The following is a 20,893-nucleotide window of genomic DNA, read 5'->3' on the forward strand; positions in this document are numbered from 1 at the left end:
AACTAACATGTTTAATAAATTTTCAGGATTTTTATTAGGTTCTTTTAGCCTAGTCATTTTTTACAAATGTGATTTAAAATACGTTTTTTCAAGATATGTTGGAATAAAATTCAGACATTACATGTTAATATTTATTAAGTTGTGTATCATTGTTATTCATTTCATATCTCATTTAAAATTTTGGTTTTAGACTGAAAATATTCCTGTGGTTAGAAGACCTGATCGAAAAGATCTACTTGGATATCTCAATGGTGAAGCGTGTGAGTACTTTTTAAATTGTTCCCAGTCTTAAACAGACATTGTTTCTTTTTTCCCCTATGAAATAATGATTAGAGGGAAGAGAATTTGTATTTCCACCAAAAAATTAACCTACCTTCATTTTTGTCCATGTGCTCACCTTTTTCTTATACAGTGGATGCACTGTCTTTGCCCTTATGGCCAGTCACCCCTTCCTTGTGTGTGGATTCCATCTCCTTTCACAGTCTCAAAGACTTTGTCTTCGTAAATTGTTGTTTCTCTGACATCATCAGTTTTCTACTTTCTTCTGGATCATTCCCTTTTAGAATACCTACAGTAAGATTTCATGTTTAAAAAATGTTTTTGATCCCACATTCCTACTGTCTACTGCTTCATTTATCTCCTCCCTGATACTGTAAAATATTCTGCAAGAGTTCGTGTGGTATCATTGCTTCTTTTTTACCTTTGTTTCTTTCTTGAAGCCACTCTAGTCTGGCCTTCATCCTTACCATCCCACTAAAATCACTCCTTGTAAGGTCAAAACTGATTTAAGGATTGCTACATCCTTTGGTCTCTTGTACCATACTTGACCTCTCAACAGCATTTGATACTGTTGACCACTCATTTTTGAAAGCCTTTCTTCATTTGGCATTTGGAACACCAGCCTCTTGGTTCTCTTTCTACTCGTTGTTCACCTCTCAGTTTATTTTGGTTACTTCTGTACCTGACCTCTAATTCTTGAAGTTTCCAAGACTTGATCTTTTTTTTTATCTTTTCTTTTAACCTGTATTCTCTAGGTGATCTCTTTCAGTTTTATGGCTCAGATATCATATATATGCTGATGAAATTTCAAGTGTTTTTTTCAGCATTGATTTCTTTCAGGGCACCAGATTTATAAATTTACTGTCAACATGTTTCCTTGAATGTTGAATAGGCATCTGAAATTTAACACTGAAAATGGAATGCCTGATTCCCTCTTTCCCTTCTGCCCTCACACAGAACAAAAACAAGTCTGTTGTTTTCTCAGTGTTCCCACTTTAGTAAGGGGTAGTGAGACGCTCTTCCTGCAGTTGCTTAGGCCAGAACTTTGGTGACATCTTTGTCACATCTCACATCCATTCTATCAACAAGTTGTTTTTTTCTCTTTTTAAAAGTATGACAACTTCTTACCATTCTACCTGCCCTATTTCATCCTTGCTTTTTAGATTATTGTATAGCTTCCTCACAGGTCCCCACTCTTTATTTCCTATAGTGTAGTCTTAGCAATAGAGTGTCCTGCTTTTGAAAAAGTATATAAACTTGATTGTGTCACTCACCTGTGGCTTCCCATCACTCTTAGAATAAAACTCATACTTGTTACCCTGGCAGTCATCTTGCCTCTGCCTAAATCTCTGTGACTCCATCTTCTACCATTCTTCCTTTGCTCATAACAGTCAGTCTTTTTGGTCTTTTAGCTATGCTAATCTTAGCACCTTTGCACTTTCTCTTTCTATCTTGAGTTGTCTTTCTCTACATTATCACATGGCTCACTTGCTTACTATTTCATTTAGATCTGTGCTCAAGTGTTTTTCCAAATGTTGTTCCATCAGAGAAGACTTCTCTGACCACTCTTATCGAAAATATAGTATTCCTTTCCTCCTTCTGTGGTTTTTATATAGTGCCATCCTGATTTATTTTTCACCAGATCTCATACATTGACCTGAAATTATATATCTGTTTATGTACATAGTGTCTGTCTTTCCCATTAGAAGGTAAATCCTAAGGGGACAGACAGTTGTTTGTCTTGTTAAATACCCAGCATTTACAATAGTGGTGCATGGTAGGTTCTTAACTGAATAAATGAGTAATTATTAATTTACTCTCTTACAGAGTACAAGTACATTGATATAATACAACTATTGGGTCTTACTTTGCTGAGTGTGACGTGTAGTACCTTTAAGTCATTAACAGCTGTCTTGTCATGCATGGCTTTAAGCAGTAAGATTGATTTCCACAGAGAATCTTGTGTATAATGGAAAGATCATCATTAGGAATGCTTTCTTCCTATGCTGTCCTCATTCAATAAGGACTTATTACGTGCTTATTCTTAAAAGGCATTATGCTGGGTGTTGTGCAAAATGCCAAATCCCTGTCTTAAACATGTAAACATGTTTACTGTCATGCAAGGGAGACTGGATACACAAAAGTTTAGAACCCAGCAGTATTAAAGAGGGAGTCTCAATTCTGTGAAGAGGATGGAGTTGGGGAGGATAGAAGAAACTTTTTTTTTTCTTTCAGAGATGGGGTCTCGCTACATTGTTCAGGCTGGTCTTGAACTCTTGGGCTCAAGCAGTCCTCCTCCCTTGGCCTCCCAAAGTGTTGGGATTGCAGGCATGAGCCACTGTGCCCAGCCATTTTTTTTTTTTTTAATCAAAGCAAATTTGATTCTTTGGAGCAGTGTTTCTCTAACTTTTTAAGTGATGAGAATCATATGGTTTGAAAATAGTGGTTTTTTTTGTTTGTTTGTTTTTGGCTTCAGAAGATGTGATATAAGGTCTAAGATTCTCTATTCTTAAGCATCGCAGGTGAGCCTGATAAATAGGCTAGTTTTGGGGAAGCACTTTAGAGCAAATGATTTTTCTTTTTAGAATCAAAAGTAGAGTTGCCCTTTATCCATCTATGTCATTTCCTGTAGATTTTTTTTTTTTTTTTTTTTTTTGAGAAGGAATCTTGCTCTGTCGCCCCAGGCTGGAGTGCAGTGGCGCGATCTTGGCTCACTGCAAGCTCCGCCTCCCGGGTGCATGCCATTCTTCTGCCTCAGCCTCCTGAGTAGCTGGGACTACAGGCGCCTGCCACCACGCCTGGCTAACTTTTTGTATTTTTAGTAGAGACCGGGTTTCACTGTGTTAGCCAGGATGGTATCTATCTCCTGACCTTGTGATCTGCCTGCCTCGGCCTCCCAAAGTGCTGGGATTACAGGTGTGAGCCACCGCGCCTGGCAGTTTTTATAGGACAGAGTTAGTCACTAAGCGTATTGCTTTGCCACTTTTTAAAAACTGTTAATTTAATAGTTTAATGAAAAGGTTGAGCAAATATTAAGACCGTATTCTTAGGAAGACATAATAGCTAAAGATGTTGGTTCTTAATTTATACATTTAACATGGTCTCAATAAGAATCTCTAGTTTTTCTTGAGGTAGGAATAGAACTAGACAAGGTGATTCTAAAGTTCATTGGCAAAAGTAAGCATCCTAAAAATTTGTAGAAGAGCATTGAGAAAAGGCTAGTCATTCTGGAGAACTTAAAACCCTGATAATTTGAAACAACTAAATGACTAGATACACTAATAAAAAAACTTTATCTGTTAGGTTAGAAATCTATATGTGAATTTAACATATGATTAAAGAGACATGTCAAGTCAATGGGAGGAAGGTGGGATTATTCAGTTACAAGCTGATAAAAGTAGTAAAGTTCTGTATTATAAAAAACAAAAGACATGACAAACTGGGAAAATATGTTAATATTTCAACTCATCACAGATAAAGGGCTAATCTCACTAATATACGAAGGGTCCTGGAACTTTATGCATAAAAGACCAAACACTCTATGGATTATGTCATAAAATTCACAGAAAAGGTGATAAAATCATGAAAAATGCTTAATATCATTTATAATAAGAGAATTGCAAATTTAAACTATACGGAGATAGGATTTTTTTTTTTTTAACCTGATAGAAAAAAATCTGTAAGTTTGATAATATGCTCTGGTGAAGCAATGAGAAAACAGATATTCTACTATATTGTTGGTTATAATGTTAATCAGTGCACCCCTACACCCCCATTGAAGAATTGGCAGCAGTCTAACATTACAAATTTAACATAGAAATCCTGTGTCTGGAACTTTATCCTAGAGGTATATTTCGTTTAGCTTTTTTACCAGTTGTGAATAACTAAAAATTACATGTGTAGGGTGAATGCTAACTTTAAAAAAACTTGCCATTATATATAATATCTATATGTACATTTATATATTTATGAAAACTTGTGACTTTATATTAATATATTATTGTGCCATTGTTCGTAACAACAGAAGACTAAAATTGAACAGCTCATCAACAGGGACCTAGTTAAATAAATTGTAGTTAGGCCATACAGTAGAGTACTCAGTAGCTATAAAAAAATGGTTAAAGAGGGCCGGGCACAGTGGCTCACACCTGTAATCCCAGCACTTTGGGAGGCCGAGGCGGGCGGATCACGAGGTCAGGAGATCGAGACCATTCTGGCTAACATGGTGAAACCCCGTCTCTACTAAAAATACAAAAAAATTAGCCGGGCGTGGTGGCATGTGCCTGTAGTCCCAGCTACTCGGGAGGCTGAGGCAGGAAAATGGCGTGAACCCAGGAGGTGGAGCTTGCAGTAAGCCAGGATCGCCACTGCACTCCAGCCTGGGTGACAGAGCGAGACTCCGTCTCAAAAAAAAAGTAAAGGAAATGCTCTACTTACTGATATGGAGGGTTATGGGAGATAAGTTGTTAGGTAAAAAAGAAAACAGGGTTCAGAACAGTATGTTTAGTATGTCACCTTTTGTATTAAAAAGGGTAAAAATAATTTTGTATTTCTCATATCTACAGAAAGAAACTCTAGAAGGATATATAAGAGACTAGTTGGCTGCATAGGGTGGTGGGAACTAGGTGAATGGGGACAGGTATACCCCTTTTTGTTGAGCCATTCAAAAATTAAGTAATTTAATTTTAAAAATAATTTAGTTTTTTACCAGTTGTGAATAACTAAAAATTGCATGTTTAGGGTGAATGCTAACTTAAAAAAAATCTTGTCCATATATATGTGTGTGTATGTGTGTGTGTATATATATATTTATGTGTTTACTTACACCTTTTTAGGTGTCTGTGTTATGACATTGGAGCATATACTTTGAAGCAACTAATTTCAGTCAGATCATCTCAGTAATTTGTAAGCTAAATTGTTAAAAATAGTTTGTCCTCTTAGAGACTTTCTAGTATAGATTAATCTTTTAAATAACATGTTTTTGCAGAGCTGCTTTAAAACTGAATTTTTTACCTAGAGAAAATCACCATATAGAAGTATATAAAAAACCTAAAGCATTTCACTTGTAATAATATCCAATATATATGTTGAAATAGTAATCCTTACGTGAATCTTTTTATGTCTTCAGCAACATCGGCAAGTATAGACAGAAGCGCTCCCTTAGAAATAGGTCTTCAGCGATCTACTCAAGGTATGTCTTGTTGCATATTTATATTGAACTTTCAGAAGCCCATTCCAAAACTACACATTTATTTACTTCTCTTTCTTTTATAGTCAAACGAGCTGCAGATGAAGTTTTAGCAGAAGCAAAGAAACCACGAATTGAGGTAAAGAAACTGTATTTTAAACAATTTTATTTATATTGTTATTGAAATTGGGATTCTTTAGTAACAAGGATTCTTTGATTGCAGTAACCTGAGGAGCTTTTTTTCTGGAAAAATTTTTGTGGTAGAAAGAACAATTGATTAATAAGTAGCTCAAGCTATAGTTTTAGCTCTCTCACATGCAAGCTATGTGAGGGACAAATCATTTTATTTTCTTTGCTTTTATATTCTTATGGATGAACCTATTGGCTCAAGGGTCAGAATTCTTTTTCCTTTCTGTTCTTTTTTTTTTTTTTTTTTGAGGCAGAATCTTTCTCTGTCACCCAGGCTGGAGTCCAGTGGTATGATCATAGCTTATTGTAGCCTCGACCTCCGGGGTTTAAGTGATCCCCCCACCTCAGCCTCCCGAGTAGTTGGGACTGCAGGTGCCTGCCACCATGCCCAGTTAATTTTTGATTTTTTTTTTAATAGAGACAGGGTTTTCCGTGTTGGCCAGGCTACAGAATTCTTTCTTTATGAAAGGCCAGATAGTAAATATTTTAGGCCTTATGGGCCATACAGTTTATGTTGCAACTATTTTACTTTAATATTGTAGTGTGAAAGCACTCATAGACAATACATAAATGAACAGATGTGGCTATGTTTCTATAAAAAACTTCAGAAAACAGATGGCGGGCCAGAATTGGTCTTTGGGATGTAGTTTGCCTACCTTTGGAACAATGTGTTATGGGTGCTTGCTTTACTGCTCAGAGCTGTGAACATGAAGTACTTACTACTTTAATGTAATCTTAATTAAGGATATTCTGAGAAATGGATCTGATATTTTTAAGAGATAATGATGATAATTGATTCATTGTTATTGCTCTATGCTATGTGTTATTCTAAGTACTTTATATGTATTAACTCATGTAATCGTATTTGCTCATAGATGATATGCATAGTACTCCCAGAACTCATTAAGTTGGTAGTACTGTGCATATCATCTATGAGCGAATAGGCTCAGACAGAGTGAGTTCCTGAGGTTTGAAGAACCAGTTGGAACCTTGGCAGTCTGGTTTCTAGCCATTCTGCTATACTGGGTATAAATTTTGTGGCAGTAAAACTGAATATTTCCCCTTATATGAAAGGAGATTGTGACCTGTGGTAAACAATGTGTATGAATTTAGGGATACCATTTATTTGATCTCAAATTCCTGGCCTCAAGCATTCTGCCCACCTCGGCCTCCCGAAGTGCTGGGATTACTGCCATGAGCCACTGCGCCCAGCTCAAGGGATGCCATTTATTTGAAACAATCTGAACATCACAGTCTAATTATTTGAAAAAATTCAACATGGCAGAAGTCCTAGTTTCCTGGGATTCCAGTAACTTAAAAAATCAGCAGGAAATGGCATAATACATTTTTTTCCAAATCATTTGTGGGGTTGAAATGTGTTACATAAACAGCTATGGTTTTCAACATTGGTTTTCAGTTCAGTGTATGTCTTTTGAGGATCTATAAGGAACTGTGCTAGGAAAGAGAAACTGAGGGTAGAGTTTCTGATTTGATAAAAATCTAGGCTGCAGTTATCTTTAAAATCAGTAGTAAGGAATTTGAGAAATCTGGGCTATATCTTTATTGCAAATGGAAAAAGTTGGATGCATTTGCCAAAATATTTTTGCATTTATTTCAGCTGATTTATTCATTTTAAGATTTTTACATGATAGATTAATAATAGGACATGAATTGGAGCCCAACATCTTTTTGGATCTCTAGAGTATGCTGATGCTTTTTATACAGTTTTGTATTTCATTAGTCATAGTCATTGACTCTGGTCCTCAGTTTTGTTATTTGTTGAATGTGGACATTAAACTGGATCAGGGTTACCAGATTTTGTTTTGTTTTTAACCAACAGCTTTTCAGACTAAATTTTACTTGACATCATAATATGTGAATTAGATAAAAGCTGAGCTACCAGGGTTGAATTTCAGACAAAATCTTGAAGTGGCCCATGAGGCGTTTAGTTGGAAGCTTCTAACGTTCTAATGACCATCCTTTGAAAACCTTTAAGGTTTTCCTTAGAGCATTTTGATTAGTGCTAATGGATTCAGGACCTGTAGCAACAGATGAAAAAAAAATGGAGATACCAAAATGAAATTGTTGACTCTGGTGAAGGCTTGTCATAACATTTGGTTATTAACTTTCTCAAAAAGATGAATTTATTTGTTGTGTCTTTCTGAAGAAAGTCAGCTATGATATGGGAAGAGCACTTAATCATAAAGAAAAAAGTAGCTAAGCAAGTTTTTCCTAAGCTTTTCGATGATTCCAGTCTTAAGATTCAACATATATTTATTGTTATTATCTTTACGTAGCCAAAAGTAGTCTTGAAGTTGGCCTAAAGACACTGATACCTAGAATTGTAGAGGTAGGAAATTTGGTAAGGAAAAGTTACATGTAGCGTTTTTTCTTCCTAAAAGTTCAATAAAAATTTTAAATGCATTAACCAGTGGTTATTTCCAGGATGAAGAGTGTGTGCGCCTTGATAAAGAGAGATTGGCTGCCCGTTTGGAGGGTCACAAAGAAGGGATTGTACAGACTGAACAGATTAGGTAAGAATTCTTTTTAAGTAGAAAGTAGGTAGTTTAGATATATGTAAAAGTATAAGGAAAAGGAATATTAAAATGCTCTCCACATTTACATTTACCTCTTGGATTCATTTTATGCCTCTTTGCTCTTAAGTTCGTAAGAACATGTGTGGGGATTGGAAGTCATTGTGTTTATCATGCTTTTTGAAAAGTCTTCTTGTTTCTATTACCATGTTGGTCTTTCTTTTTAAAAATTGCGTTATAAGCTGAGAAATTCATTTTATGTTACCTCTTATTGATTACTTACACCAGAAGTCAGCAAGCTTTTTCTGGAAAGTGCCACATGTTAAATATTTTTAGCTTTGAAGGTAATATGGTCTCTTGAAACTACTGAACTTTTGTGGTGTGGGGAAAGCAGCCATAGACAATACATGAATGGATGGGCATAGTTTCTTCACTTTTTAAAAATGTTTTCATTTTTCTGGATTCCAGCTACTCAAACTCTACTTGAAGTTGTTTGACAGCTCACTTACATTCTTTTCTTTTTTTTGGATTCTTTTCTATCTGTCTGTTTATATTCTTTTTTGAATTATTTTTGGATAGTTTCTGTTGTACTGAACTTTAATTTTTTTTTTTTTTTTTGGAGACGGAGTTTCACTTTTTCACCCAGGCTAGAGTGCAGTGGTGCGATCTTGGCTCACTGCAACCTCTGTCTTCTGGTTTCAAGCGATTCTCCTGCCTCAGCTTCCCGAGTAGCTGGGATTACAGGCGCCTGCCACCACGCCGGGCTAATTTTTATACTTTTAGTAGAGATGATGTTTTCACCATGTTGGCCAGGCTGGTCTCAAACTCCTGAACTCGTGATCTGTCCGCCTTGGCCTCCCAAAGTGCTGGGATTACAGGCGTGAGCCACCGCGCCTGGCTGAACTTTAGTATTTTTTTCTTTGACAGTTCACTTACATTCTTCTCTTTTTTTGAATTAACTTTATATCTGTTAAATTCTTTCTTGAGTCCTTTTTGGATAGTTTCTGTTGTGTTTTCAACTTTACTTAATTTTTTTTATGTAATTCCATGCATGTTTAGTCTCCAGCATTGTAGTTTTCATCTGAAGTTTGTTTTGCTCTTTTTTTTTTTGAGACGGAGTTTCGCTCTTGTGACCCAGGCTGGAGTGCAGTGGCGTGATCTCGGCTCACTGCAACCTCTGCCTCCCGGGTTCAAGTGATTCTCCTGCCTCAGCCTCCCGAGTAGCTGGGATTACAGGTGCATGCCACCACGCCCAGCTAATTTTTGCATGTTTTGCTCTTTTTTAAAAAACATACCTACTTCATCTTTTCATTTAGCTTGTTGAAATATAGAACGTAGTTCTTGTAATTATTTTCATGCCTTGAGATTGATTGATATTTCTCCTCGTTCTGCTTTATTACATGTCTGCTTTATTACATTTTCCTGCTTTATTACATATCATGTGATCTTTGCACACCAAACATCATATATACTTTTTACCTTGTTGAGGGCTAGATATTGTTATATCTCCCCACATCATCTTTAGCTTTTTTTTGGGACACAGTTAAATCCCTTGGAAACAGTTTGTTACTTTTGGGTCTTGATTTTAATTTATCTGAACATTGGTCAGCTAGGGTAATTATTCCCCACCCACTGAGGGAAGACCATTCTGAGTACCTAATACTTCATGAACGTGAGGTTTCATTCTGGCTAGTGGAACAGGCACTATTCTTCACTTTGTGTGAACACTAGGCATTATTCTGTCTAATTCACTTGGGTGGTTCTTTATTCAACCTTACATAGTTTCTTCATATTTGTGCTAGTCAGAATTCTGCTGGGGTACGTGAGGGGGATCTTCTGTGCAGTTCTCAGGTCTTCTGACCTATGAATTCTAAACACCTTGGTCTTGCTGTAGTCTCAGCTCCATTTCTTCTTATCAGAGAATCCGCTCAGCTCTACATGGGTTCTCCTCCCAAGGCCATGTCTTGGAAACTTACAGGCAATAAGCTGAGGCAGTCATAGGGCTTACCTTGTTTGTTTCTCATTTGTTAGGGAATTACTGTCCTTCATTGCTTGATATCTAGCATCTAGTAAACCATTGTTTTATGTATTTTGACTGGTTATTTAAAGGCTGGAGGGTTAGTCTAGTCTCTGGTACTTCATCTTGGCTGTAAGTAAAAATTCTATGTTTCAAAGTCCATTGGAGGCTTGATTATAGTTTGGAGAAGTACGGTAGTCCCCCATCCACCCTCTGGGGATATGTTCCAAGACCTCCAGTGGATGCCTGAAACCTCGGATAGTCCTGAACTCTAGCCAAGGAGTGCCAAGGTCACCTTGTCGTTTAAGGGAAGCACTTTGGCAGTGGCATATGCGAATTGCTGGCATCACTACTCTTGTGTTTTGGGGCCATTGTTAGGTAAAATAAGGGCTACTTGAACATAAGTACTTTAATGCTGCCATAGTCGATCTGATAACCGAGATGGCTATTAAGCGACTAACAGGCAGTGTATACAGTATGGATACATTGGACAAAGGGATCATTCGTGTCCGGATATCCCAGGCAGGTGTCCCAGGCAGGACAGTACAAGATTTCAGCAGGCTACTCAGCACGGCACATAATTTAAAACTTACGAATTATTTATTTCTGGAATTTTCCATTTAATATTTTGGACTGTGGTTGATAGCAGGTAACTGAAACTGTGGAAAGCCAAACAGGAGTACTGTATTTGAATTTGGCTTAAGGTATGCTGGTGTGCTTTAGATTTTAAGGGAAATTTGCACAGTATTACACAAAATGCATCAAATGCCAGATGCATATGAGCACTACTATAAAGTACCTTCATACCTAATCTGAATAAAATTAGAATACTGTATAATACTACTGTATTTAAACCTGCAGGAATTTTTGTCCTTTTTCTAGATTTTGTGTAAACATATTTCAAGATTTTCATCTTGTGACTAAAGTAATATTTTTGTCTACTGTTATTAAGGTACCCAAACACTTTTTAATTCTTTTTCTCATTTTACATGATAAAAGACACTTTGCTTAAGATTATCATTTTATGACGTATACTTTCAGTGTTGTCTTTTTTTATATTTCTGCAAACATAGTCTCTTTCAACTATTTTGCCTATTTGAAAATCAAGAAAAGGGAAGAAAAAGAAAACTGTATAAAATATGGCTTTATCTTCCAGAGATTAAAGGAGTATGTTTTTGTGGCATATAAAAGCCTGTCACTTAAATTATGTTCTGCACTATGGCATACAAGTTTGAAACCTTGAAATAAATTTCAAGGAAAACCTAGGCTTTGAACTTTCTGTAGGATGGATTTTTTACCTCCTTCCAAAGTGGCATCTGTGTGTGTGTTTAATTTCCATAGATACAGAAAATATAAAGAAAAGCACCTATATTAATGAGTCCTGCTTTTTTGTGGGGAAGAGATGAAAAACCATGAAGAATTTTGTTGTATTGATACTTCTAAGAAATTACTAATTTGCTCTTAGAGTAATATCTCGACATGAATTCTTTATAAAAATTTTATATAATTGCAGAATAGCAAGTCAGTCTTACAGATAAGAAAACCTTAATTATTGCCATGTAAGTGTTTTTACCAGAAATTTATAAATGTAACAAAATATATTTATGATACACTCCAGGAATGCCTGCTGTGAAAATTTAAAAAAGAAATTGCTTTTAGGTCTTTGTCTGAAGCTATGTCAGTGGAAAAAATTGCTGCAATCAAAGCCAAAATTATGGCTAAGAAAAGATCTACTATCAAGACTGATCTAGATGATGACATAACTGCCCTTAAACAGAGGAGTTTTGTGGATGCTGAGGTAGATGTGACCCGAGATATTGTCAGCAGAGAGAGAGTATGGAGGACACGAACAACTATCTTACAAAGCACAGGAAAGGTAATTAAAATATTTTACTCATTCATTGGAGTGAGAGAGAGAGAGAGAGAGTGCGTTTAATCTGTGGTTATAGAATTGGTTAAACTTTGCTTTTAGGTGGAAGTTTCAAGTTTTATCTCTTTGAAAGCTCAGTAATAATGTAGATTTCCAGATGGCCATTTTTACCATTCCATTCTTGAATATGGTTGTTAGACATCAGAGATGCTGATGAAAAAGTAGGAATCAAAATGCAAGCTCCTTCACAGATCATTTGCAAATCAAAGAATGGCCCAGTTTTCCTGTTGAGTCATTTTTGCTTAAACCTAATAAATGGAATAATATTGATGGCAAGTTCTCTGGTTATTAATGCCATCATTATTTTTTTTTCTCACATGGTAGAGAACTTATGGAAATCTGTAGCAAACATTTATTGAGTATATTTTACACACTATATTCTGTTGTGTGGGTATAGCAGTTTTTTCATTAGCTCCCTATTAATGGAAATTGTTTTCTTTTGTTTTTGCTCCAAAGATTGTGCAGTTTTTCTCCCTTTCTCTGTCCTTCCTTTCTTCTCTCTGCCCCCCTCCTCCTTTCTCTCTTTCTCCTCCCGTTTCCCTCTCTTCCTCCTTCCCTCACTTCCTTTTCCCTATTATGAATAATGCATTAGAAAACATTGTTGTACACGTACCTTTGTGTGTTTGTGTGTATATAGCCAAAGGATTAATTCTTGGAAACAAATTGCTGGTTAAAGGAGATATGCACTTTATATTTTGAAAGATAAAAATCTGAAATACTGAATGTCCAGTATTTTCATGGATCTCCAAAAAGAGGATGCATTTATCCTGATTTATGTACTTTCATTTGTCTTTTCCTCTTTAGTGCCTCAATTTTCTCTTAAATGTTTTCTCCACTGATGCACAGTTGTTAATAATGATGATCTAGTAAGAATGTTGAAGTGTGCAAAGTTACTTGTGAAACTGAAATTTAACATTGTTTTAGGCAAATTGGTTTTGATTGTAGAATTTTGGGATTTTAGTCTTAAATTTACATTGCTATTTTAGTAGAAATAAAGCTATGAAAAGAGTATATGAAGAAAAGAATCATTTCTTTTTCTTTTGTACTTTGACTTTGTTTTACAAAGTACCTAAGGTTGAGATTAAGAATCATTCTCCAGAGCTTAGAATTATAGAGAAATCTGAGGATGTGAGTAAACTTCCATTTTTGCTATTTACAACAAAATGATTTGTTGATACTGATTTTCACTGTCTAGCATGGCTAATACTTGAGAAATATTGTGACTTACGTTGATCCACCAGTGTTCATTAAAATAAAAAAATCTCAAACTCATAGTAGAAGAATAAAAACAGGTGATATACCCTACCTAACTTTTAGACCAAACATTACTTTTTCAAGTAACTGAAGTGAACAGTTTTCTTTGAGCTCTAGGTGGCAGGATTGTACCATCATTTCTAAACTTACTGATTTAATATTGTTGGTACCACTATATCTTTTAAAAAAATAAGTTAATAAAAGAATTGTTTTGTAGCTAGGCTTGCCTGAGTATTATTAGTATTAAAAAATAAAAAATACTTTGATAGTCTTTCTGTGTATTGTTTTTATCTGGTAAACTCTAAAAATACTCTTAGGCAGGTGAGAATAAAAAAATACCCTTAGGTACTTAAAGCCCTGTGGGTTTTAGATAGACCTTCATTATTACTAGTTATCAGGGCTTTCTTATTTTTTGAGTTTCAGGAACAAAAGTCAGGTTCAAGATTCATGAGAGGCTGGGTGCAGCGGCTCATGCCAGTAATCCCAGCACTTTGGGAAGTCGAGGTGGGTGGACCAGTTGAGGTCAGGAGTTAGATTCCAGCCTGGCCAACATGGTGAAACCCTGTCTCTACTAAAAATACAAAAATTAGTGGGGCATGGTGGCATGCGCTTGTAATCACAGCTACCTGGGAGGCTGAGTGAGGAGAATTGCTTGAACCTGTGAGGTGGAGGTTGTTGTGAGCTAAGATTGTGCCATTGCACTCTAGCCTGGGTGACAGAGTGAGACTCTGTCTCACCAAAAAAAAAAAAAAAAAAAATTTCATGAGAGGTATAAATATGTTATTATTTTTGCAAGGACCCCAAATAAAGCAACTTGATTTTATAATGCCGTTTAGAAAACACACCTTTAAACTTACATAAATTAGGTGAAAGGTTTATACGATCTGAAGAGAAACATGTATAAACTTATATAAATTAGTATATGTTCATCATTGAAAAACTAATAAAAAGGAGATCACTAGAAGGAAGATGTTAATCACCTGTAATTCTGCTGCATAGTAGATTGATGATAATATTGATTAATTCTTCTTTATTTTTAAAGTAGTGAGATTTGCTTTTCATATATTTTCAACTATTTTTTATAATAAGACTAAGATTTTATGTGCATTTTTCATTGTATTGACCTTTGCAGTGATGGTACACAATCAATGGTTGGTAAAACTGCTGGTCATGGTGTGAATCAAGGCAATGGCACTTAGCCATTGTGTTCTTTACTCACGAATGTCCTTGATGACGTTTTTAAAATTTATGAATTTTGTTAAATCTTGACCCTCAAGTGTGTCTTTTTATTATTTTGTGTGACGAAATTGGAATGTAGAAGCACTTCTGCAAACATGATGGTTATTCTCATCAAGAGACTTGTGCCGTTGTGTGAAGTATGAACTGAATCAACATTTTTTTATTTAAGTAACTGTTATTCAGACTTGGTTATTTGGCAGACTTTTTTTTTTTTTTTTTAAATGAAGGAAATAAATTTGTTCCTTGAAGGAAAGCAACTGATAGTATTTGTTGCCAATGATAAAATGACAGCTTTCGTGAGAAAATTAGAATTTTGGGAAGTTTCTTTATGCTGCTGTCACCATAACACTTTTCTAATTCTTTTTCCACCCATAAGTAAAGAAACAAGCAATTTTCTAATTCTTAAAGTCTTCTAGTGAGTCTTTTACAAATAATATTAACAAGTATAATTTGTTGATACTGTATAATTAACCATGTTAATATTTGGAAAATGTGCATAATTCAGTGATTGATATTTTCCAGATGACCAGTGAATGCTGTCACAAATCATGCATGGGTAGAAAGTTCATTTAAAGTGCAAGGAGACTGATGGATTTTAAAGTACCTATGCAAAAAGTTTATGGATGTGGTTTCCATGTTGCATTAACCTTTAAGAACCATTTATTGCATTTTGGTATGATATCAAAGAAGACTATCCACAGTTACCTGAAAAACCTTTTCCAGCTGTTTGTGTGAGGATAGATTCTCTCGGTATTCTTTGACCAAATAAGATAGCACATTTATGACCAAATAAGAAAGCACAATAAATGTCGAATGTAGAAGCTGATCTGAGAATACAGCTGTCTTCTATTAAGCCAGAGATTAAGGAAATTTGCAAAAATTTAAAACCTGCCACTCTTTCTTGTCATTACTTTTATGCATTTTGAAAAGTGATTTTTCATGAAATATGCTATTATGTTTACATGGAATCTTGTTTTCTTATTTTTAAAAGAATTTAAATTTTTTTCAATTTTAATCTTTAATTCAATAGATACTGTAGTTCACACAAACTTAAAGCTCTTTGGGGTGCTCAGTAATTTGTAAGAGTGCAAAGGGGTCCTGAGACTTATATTTGCTGCTCCAGAGAATTATAGGAACTAGTTAGCACTGCAACTGGTATAGTGATAATAGTTATGTTTCAAGCAGCCTCTCATTTTATATACATATTTATTTGTATAGTATTTATTTAACATCTACAAACTAGGCAAGTGCTAAACACTGACCAGAGGTGCATTGGTCCTAGCTCTCACAGAAGTTATACTCTTCAGCAGAAGTCAATATTAAATAAGCGGTAATTATTACGTACATTATAGGGCAGACACCCAGCAAGGGCAGTTAACTTAGTTGAGAGTAAAGAGGAGTGATACCTAAAGAACAAAAACTAGTGAGGGAGGTGAGAGGGGTAAGGTGGGAAGAGTGGTCCCAGCCAAGGAAACAGAATGCCTTGTTTAAAGAAGAGAAATTATGTTGTATTTGAGGTTCATGAGGGCAGCGACCATGTCTTTTTTGATCATCATTGTACCCAAGTGCCAAGCAAGGTGTTTGGCTTAGAGTAGATTCTTACTACATATTCCTTCAAATGTTAAGTGATTGATAGGCAGCATAAGAAGAGCCCCAAAGGAACTGTCAGACATTAGGGGTAAAACCAAGAGAGAGTAGCATCTCAGAGGCCAAGTATCTTTGTCTGTTTTGTGCTGCTGTGGATATCACAGACTGGGTAATTTATGAAGACAAGAAATTTATTTCTCATATTTCTGTAGGCTGGGAAATCCAAGAGCATAGCAGTGGCATCTGGTGAGGGTCATTTCATGGCAGAAGGCAGAAGCAAGCAAGCAAGCAAGCAAGCAAGCAAGCAAGCAAGCAAGCAAATGAGACACAGAGAGAAATGGGGCCAAACTTACTCTTTCGGGAATCCGAGCCCACTTTTGCAATAACAACATTAATCCATTCGTAAGGGTGGAGCCCTATGACCTACCTAATCACCTCCTAAAGGCTCCACCTCCTAATACTATTAGAATGGAATAAAATTTCAACATGGGTTTTAGAGGAGACATTCAATCCATAGCATGAAGGAAGAATATTTCATGAAGGAAAGAGTCGTCAGATTAGTTAGCTGTGTTGACTTTTGATCAGCATGTAATTGCATTGTGAGTTGAAGAGCATTTGTACTTGTACTTTCCAACTTACACATCTTTGAAAAGTGTACATTGACTTCTGATAGTATCTCAAAACTCATATGTAGCAATCTGAAATTAGCACTGGAGTTTAACAGGAGGATGTAGTAGTTGATTATTTTTTTTTCTGAACTAGAAGCCTCTTTTGACAAATGTATTTATATTTTATTTAGATTTTTTTTTTTAGACGGATTCTTGCTCTGTCTCCCAGGGTGGAGTGCAGTGGCGCTATCACGGCTCACTGCAAGCTCCACCTGCTGGATTCACGCCATTCTCCTGCCTCAGCCTCCCAAGTAGCTGACACTATAGGTGTCCACCACCACGCCCAGCTAATTTTTTGTAGTTTTGGTAGAGACGGGATTTCACCGTATTAGCCAGAATGGCCTCAATCTCCTGACCTCATGATCCACCTGCCTCTGCCTCCCAAAGTGCTGGGATTACAGTCACGAGCCACCGTGCCCGGCCTTATTTAGATTTTAACTTGCTTTCTGGTTATATATTTGAACAGATGCAGAATATGAATACATTTGTAGCAGTTTTTTTTTTCTTTTTTTTTTTTGAGATGGAGTCTCGTTCTATTGCCCAGGCTGGAGTGCAGTGGCATGATCTTGGCTCACTGCAAACTCCGCCTCCCGTGTTCACACCATATTCCTGCCTCAGCCTCCCGAGTAGCTGGGACTACAGGCACCTGCCACCACGCCCAGCCAATTTTTTGTATTTTTAGTAGAGACGGGGTTTCACCTGTGTTAGCCAGGGTGGTCTCCATCTCCTGACCTCGTGATCTGCCTGCCTTGGCCTCCCGAATGTAGCAGTTTAAGTAAAATGAAAATGATGAAATGAATACCATGGGATTTACAATAATCAGTCTCTGGATCAATATCTTAGTAGTGGTTGGTTTTTACATATGTGTATAATAATGATACCTTATGACATATGTAGTAGGGAAGAATCGATAGTAAGATAACTTAGTCTTAAATTATCAACTAAATTTACTATTGTATATTTAAAGTGGGCTTAATTAAAATCCATTTATATTTTAGAATTTTTCCAAGAACATTTTTGCAATTCTTCAATCTGTAAAAGCCAGAGAAGAAGGGCGTGCACCTGAACAGCGACCTGCCCCAAATGCAGCACCTGTGGTAAGAATGCTTTACTGCTTTACAGTAGATTTAATGAAGTTGCCACTTATATTGCAGTGTAGTAACGTTGAAGACATCTTCACATTTTAAAATCAGTGGATTCTAAACCTTTTGCTCCTTTAGCATATCTGAAAGATGTGAAAGCCCTCCCCAACATTAAAAGTTACTTACTTCAGCAGTAATTCTTAACTGGAGCAGTAATTCTTAATATACCTGGGTCAGAGTCTGAAAAAGGTTAATTAGGGAAAGCCCTCTATTTATTTTAGGTAAACTGTGGCTGGCCTACTCATTGTTGCTTGGGACAATTGCTAACCATTGTTAATAACATAAATCCCTGTTAACTCCCAGTTTGGGGTTCTTTTTGGCATTGTATCTATTACATCTTGGTGAATGTATTTCTCTTGATCACCAGCCATGCTGTCCTTTAATTGTACCTCCATTTCAGCTGCTCTGAGAGTTGACTGCCTTCTCTTTGAAGTGCCACTTAAGACCCTCCCAAAGTAAATTTCACGTATGACATATAGCCTATATTTAAATTCAAACATCCTCTAATTTTGTTGAAAATCCTTCCAGCTATTTTCATATGATTCAACAAAGGAATAAAACATACAAATGAAATTGTTTCTATTTTCTGCAATAGAAAATAGAAGATTCTATAAATAGAAAATTTATAATTTTTTTTTTTTTTTTTTTTTTTTTTGAGACAGTCTCACTCTGTTGCCCAGGCTGGAGTCAGTGGCACGATCTTGGCTCACTGCAACCTCCGCCTCCTGGGTTCAAGCGATTCTTCTGCCTCAGCCTCCCAAGTAGCCAGGATTACAGGCGCATGCCACCCCACCCAGCTAATTTTTGTATTTTTAGTAGAGATGGGGTTTCGTCCTGTTCAAGACCAGGCCGGTCTTGAACTTCTGACCTCAGGTGATCTGCCCACCTCGGCCTTCCAGAAAACCTTCTATATTTTTAAAACTCTGTTTCAAGTTTTAAAAGGCACATTGAAATGTATTAGAGTACTAATACAGCCTTTGCAACTACTTTGTAGTAGTTTTATTTGCTCATGAAATTGTTGGAATTTAACTTTTAAAGATGGTAGGCTTTTGTTGATAATTAGATAAATACTTTTAGTTGACTCTCCATCAAGTACTTAAGTGCCTTCTATTAGGAAGTCTGCTAATGATCTTGAGATACAATAGTGAGAAAGATTATAGTCCCTACTTTCTTTGAGCTTATAGTCTAATACAGCAGTCCCCAACCTTTTTGGCACCAGGGACCAGTTTCGTAGAAGACAGTTTTTTCATGGACCAGGGGGAGGTTTTTGGAATGAAACTGTTCCACCTCAGATCCTCAGGGTTTAGTTAGATTCTCAAACGACCATGTAACCTAGATCTCTCAGCAGTTCCCTACTTATTAGATGTTTTTTTTTTTTTAAAGTAGTGGAGTAAGAGCTATGATGGCAAAGCACAAGGTACTTAGAATTATGAATTTGTTGACATTTTGAATAGCTGTTGATAGGAAACATGTCAAACCTTAAAACAGTTTTACCATTTGTGACTGATTATTCTTTCTGTATATTTATATAATCGTTAGAATACTTGAAGGTTTTAATGTTTGGCATTTGACTATAGAAGTATATGCCTAGTGTGAAGTAAGCATATACTTATCATTCTTGATAGGTATTGATAAGTATATTTTATTTGGCATAATATTTGATATAGAATCCTATCATAATAAAATGAAAAGTATTTCAGTCTTCATGAATTTTCCAAGTAGCTTTGGGAATATTCCTAAATATGTGTTTTTAGTTTGTTAAACATTGTGAGTTTTGATAAAGTATTTGTGATTAAATAATGCATCATTAGACTGACAGCCTTTTCTAATTATTTAAAAAAAATACGTCTTCAGTCTTACTCTGTTTATAATGGATTAATCATCATGGCTTTCATGTTTATTTAAGGATTAATAATTTGGGTTTTTTTGTTTTGTTAAAACAATCATAATTGCAGGGAAGAGTATTATGTCGTAAAGGTACTTTAGCCAGGTATGGTGGCTCATGCCTGTAATCTTAGCACTTTGCGAGACTGAGGTCGATCACCTGAGGCTGGGATTCAAAACCAGCTTGAGCAGCATGGTGAAACTTTGTCTTTATAAAAAAAAAAAAATTAGCTGAGTGTGGTGGTGCATGCCTGTGGTCCCAGCTACTTGGAAGGCTGAGGTGGGAGGATCACTTGGGCCCAGGAGGTCTTGGCTGCAGTGAGCCATGGTCATGCTACTGCACTCCAGCACATTAAATAAGTGACATTTAAAAATATTAACAAGTAACTCATAATTAATTTTTTTACAGGATCCCACTTTGCGCACCAAACAGCCTATCCCAGCTGCCTATAACAGATACGATCAGGAAAGATTCAAAGGAAAAGAAGGCAAGTTGCTTAATTCTTATCTTCCCCTTAGTGTGGTTGTGTTGAACTTGAGAGGCAGTGTGGCCTGATGTTTAAGGGTAAGGGTTGGCAAAGTAATGTCTACAGACCAGATCTTACCCACTGCAATTTTTCTTAAATAACATTTTGTTGGGACACAACCACACTCATTCATTTATGTATTTTATATATGGCTGCTTTGGCTTTGTGACATCAGTATTGAATTGTTTCAGTAGAGACTGTGTAGCCTACAAAGCCTAAAAATATTATCTGGCCCTTTACAGAAAAAAAGTTGGCCAACCCCTGGTTAATAGCATGGATTCTGGATCCAGATAGCTTATGTCGTAGTAACTTTTTGTGTGAATTTTAATGTTACTTTAACTGCATTCTGCCTTAGTTTTCTCCTGTGTATAATTAAAATGTTATTATAGTGCCTGTCTCTTACCATTATTGTGAGTATTGGACTGGTTAATAAATATTGAATTCCCAGAATAGTA

The 20,893-nt window shown here is 36.1% G+C and overlaps 1 protein-coding gene and 1 non-coding gene across 3 annotated transcripts in view; both read left to right on the forward strand.

Annotated features, from left to right (window-relative positions):
* Window positions 1–20,893, forward strand: part of CDC73 (cell division cycle 73) — a 132,785-nt gene that overhangs the window by 7,953 nt on the left and 103,939 nt on the right. For both annotated transcript variants that reach the window (NM_024529.5, XM_006711537.5), the window contains exons 3-9: window positions 191–260; window positions 5,408–5,470; window positions 5,554–5,606; window positions 8,102–8,190; window positions 11,867–12,083; window positions 17,884–17,982; window positions 20,321–20,399. In NM_024529.5, coding sequence (NP_078805.3) covers window positions 191–260; window positions 5,408–5,470; window positions 5,554–5,606; window positions 8,102–8,190; window positions 11,867–12,083; window positions 17,884–17,982; window positions 20,321–20,399 — 670 coding nt within the window. The remainder of the gene's footprint in view (window positions 1–190; window positions 261–5,407; window positions 5,471–5,553; window positions 5,607–8,101; window positions 8,191–11,866; window positions 12,084–17,883; window positions 17,983–20,320; window positions 20,400–20,893) is intronic.
* On the forward strand, window positions 6,520–6,600 carry MIR1278 (microRNA 1278). The gene has a single exon (NR_031691.1). It is a non-coding gene; the product is annotated as a microRNA 1278 (primary transcript).

The sequence above is a fragment of the Homo sapiens genome, chromosome 1 (assembly GCF_000001405.40).
Source record: "Homo sapiens chromosome 1, GRCh38.p14 Primary Assembly".
Classification (NCBI taxonomy): Eukaryota; Metazoa; Chordata; class Mammalia; order Primates; family Hominidae; genus Homo; species Homo sapiens.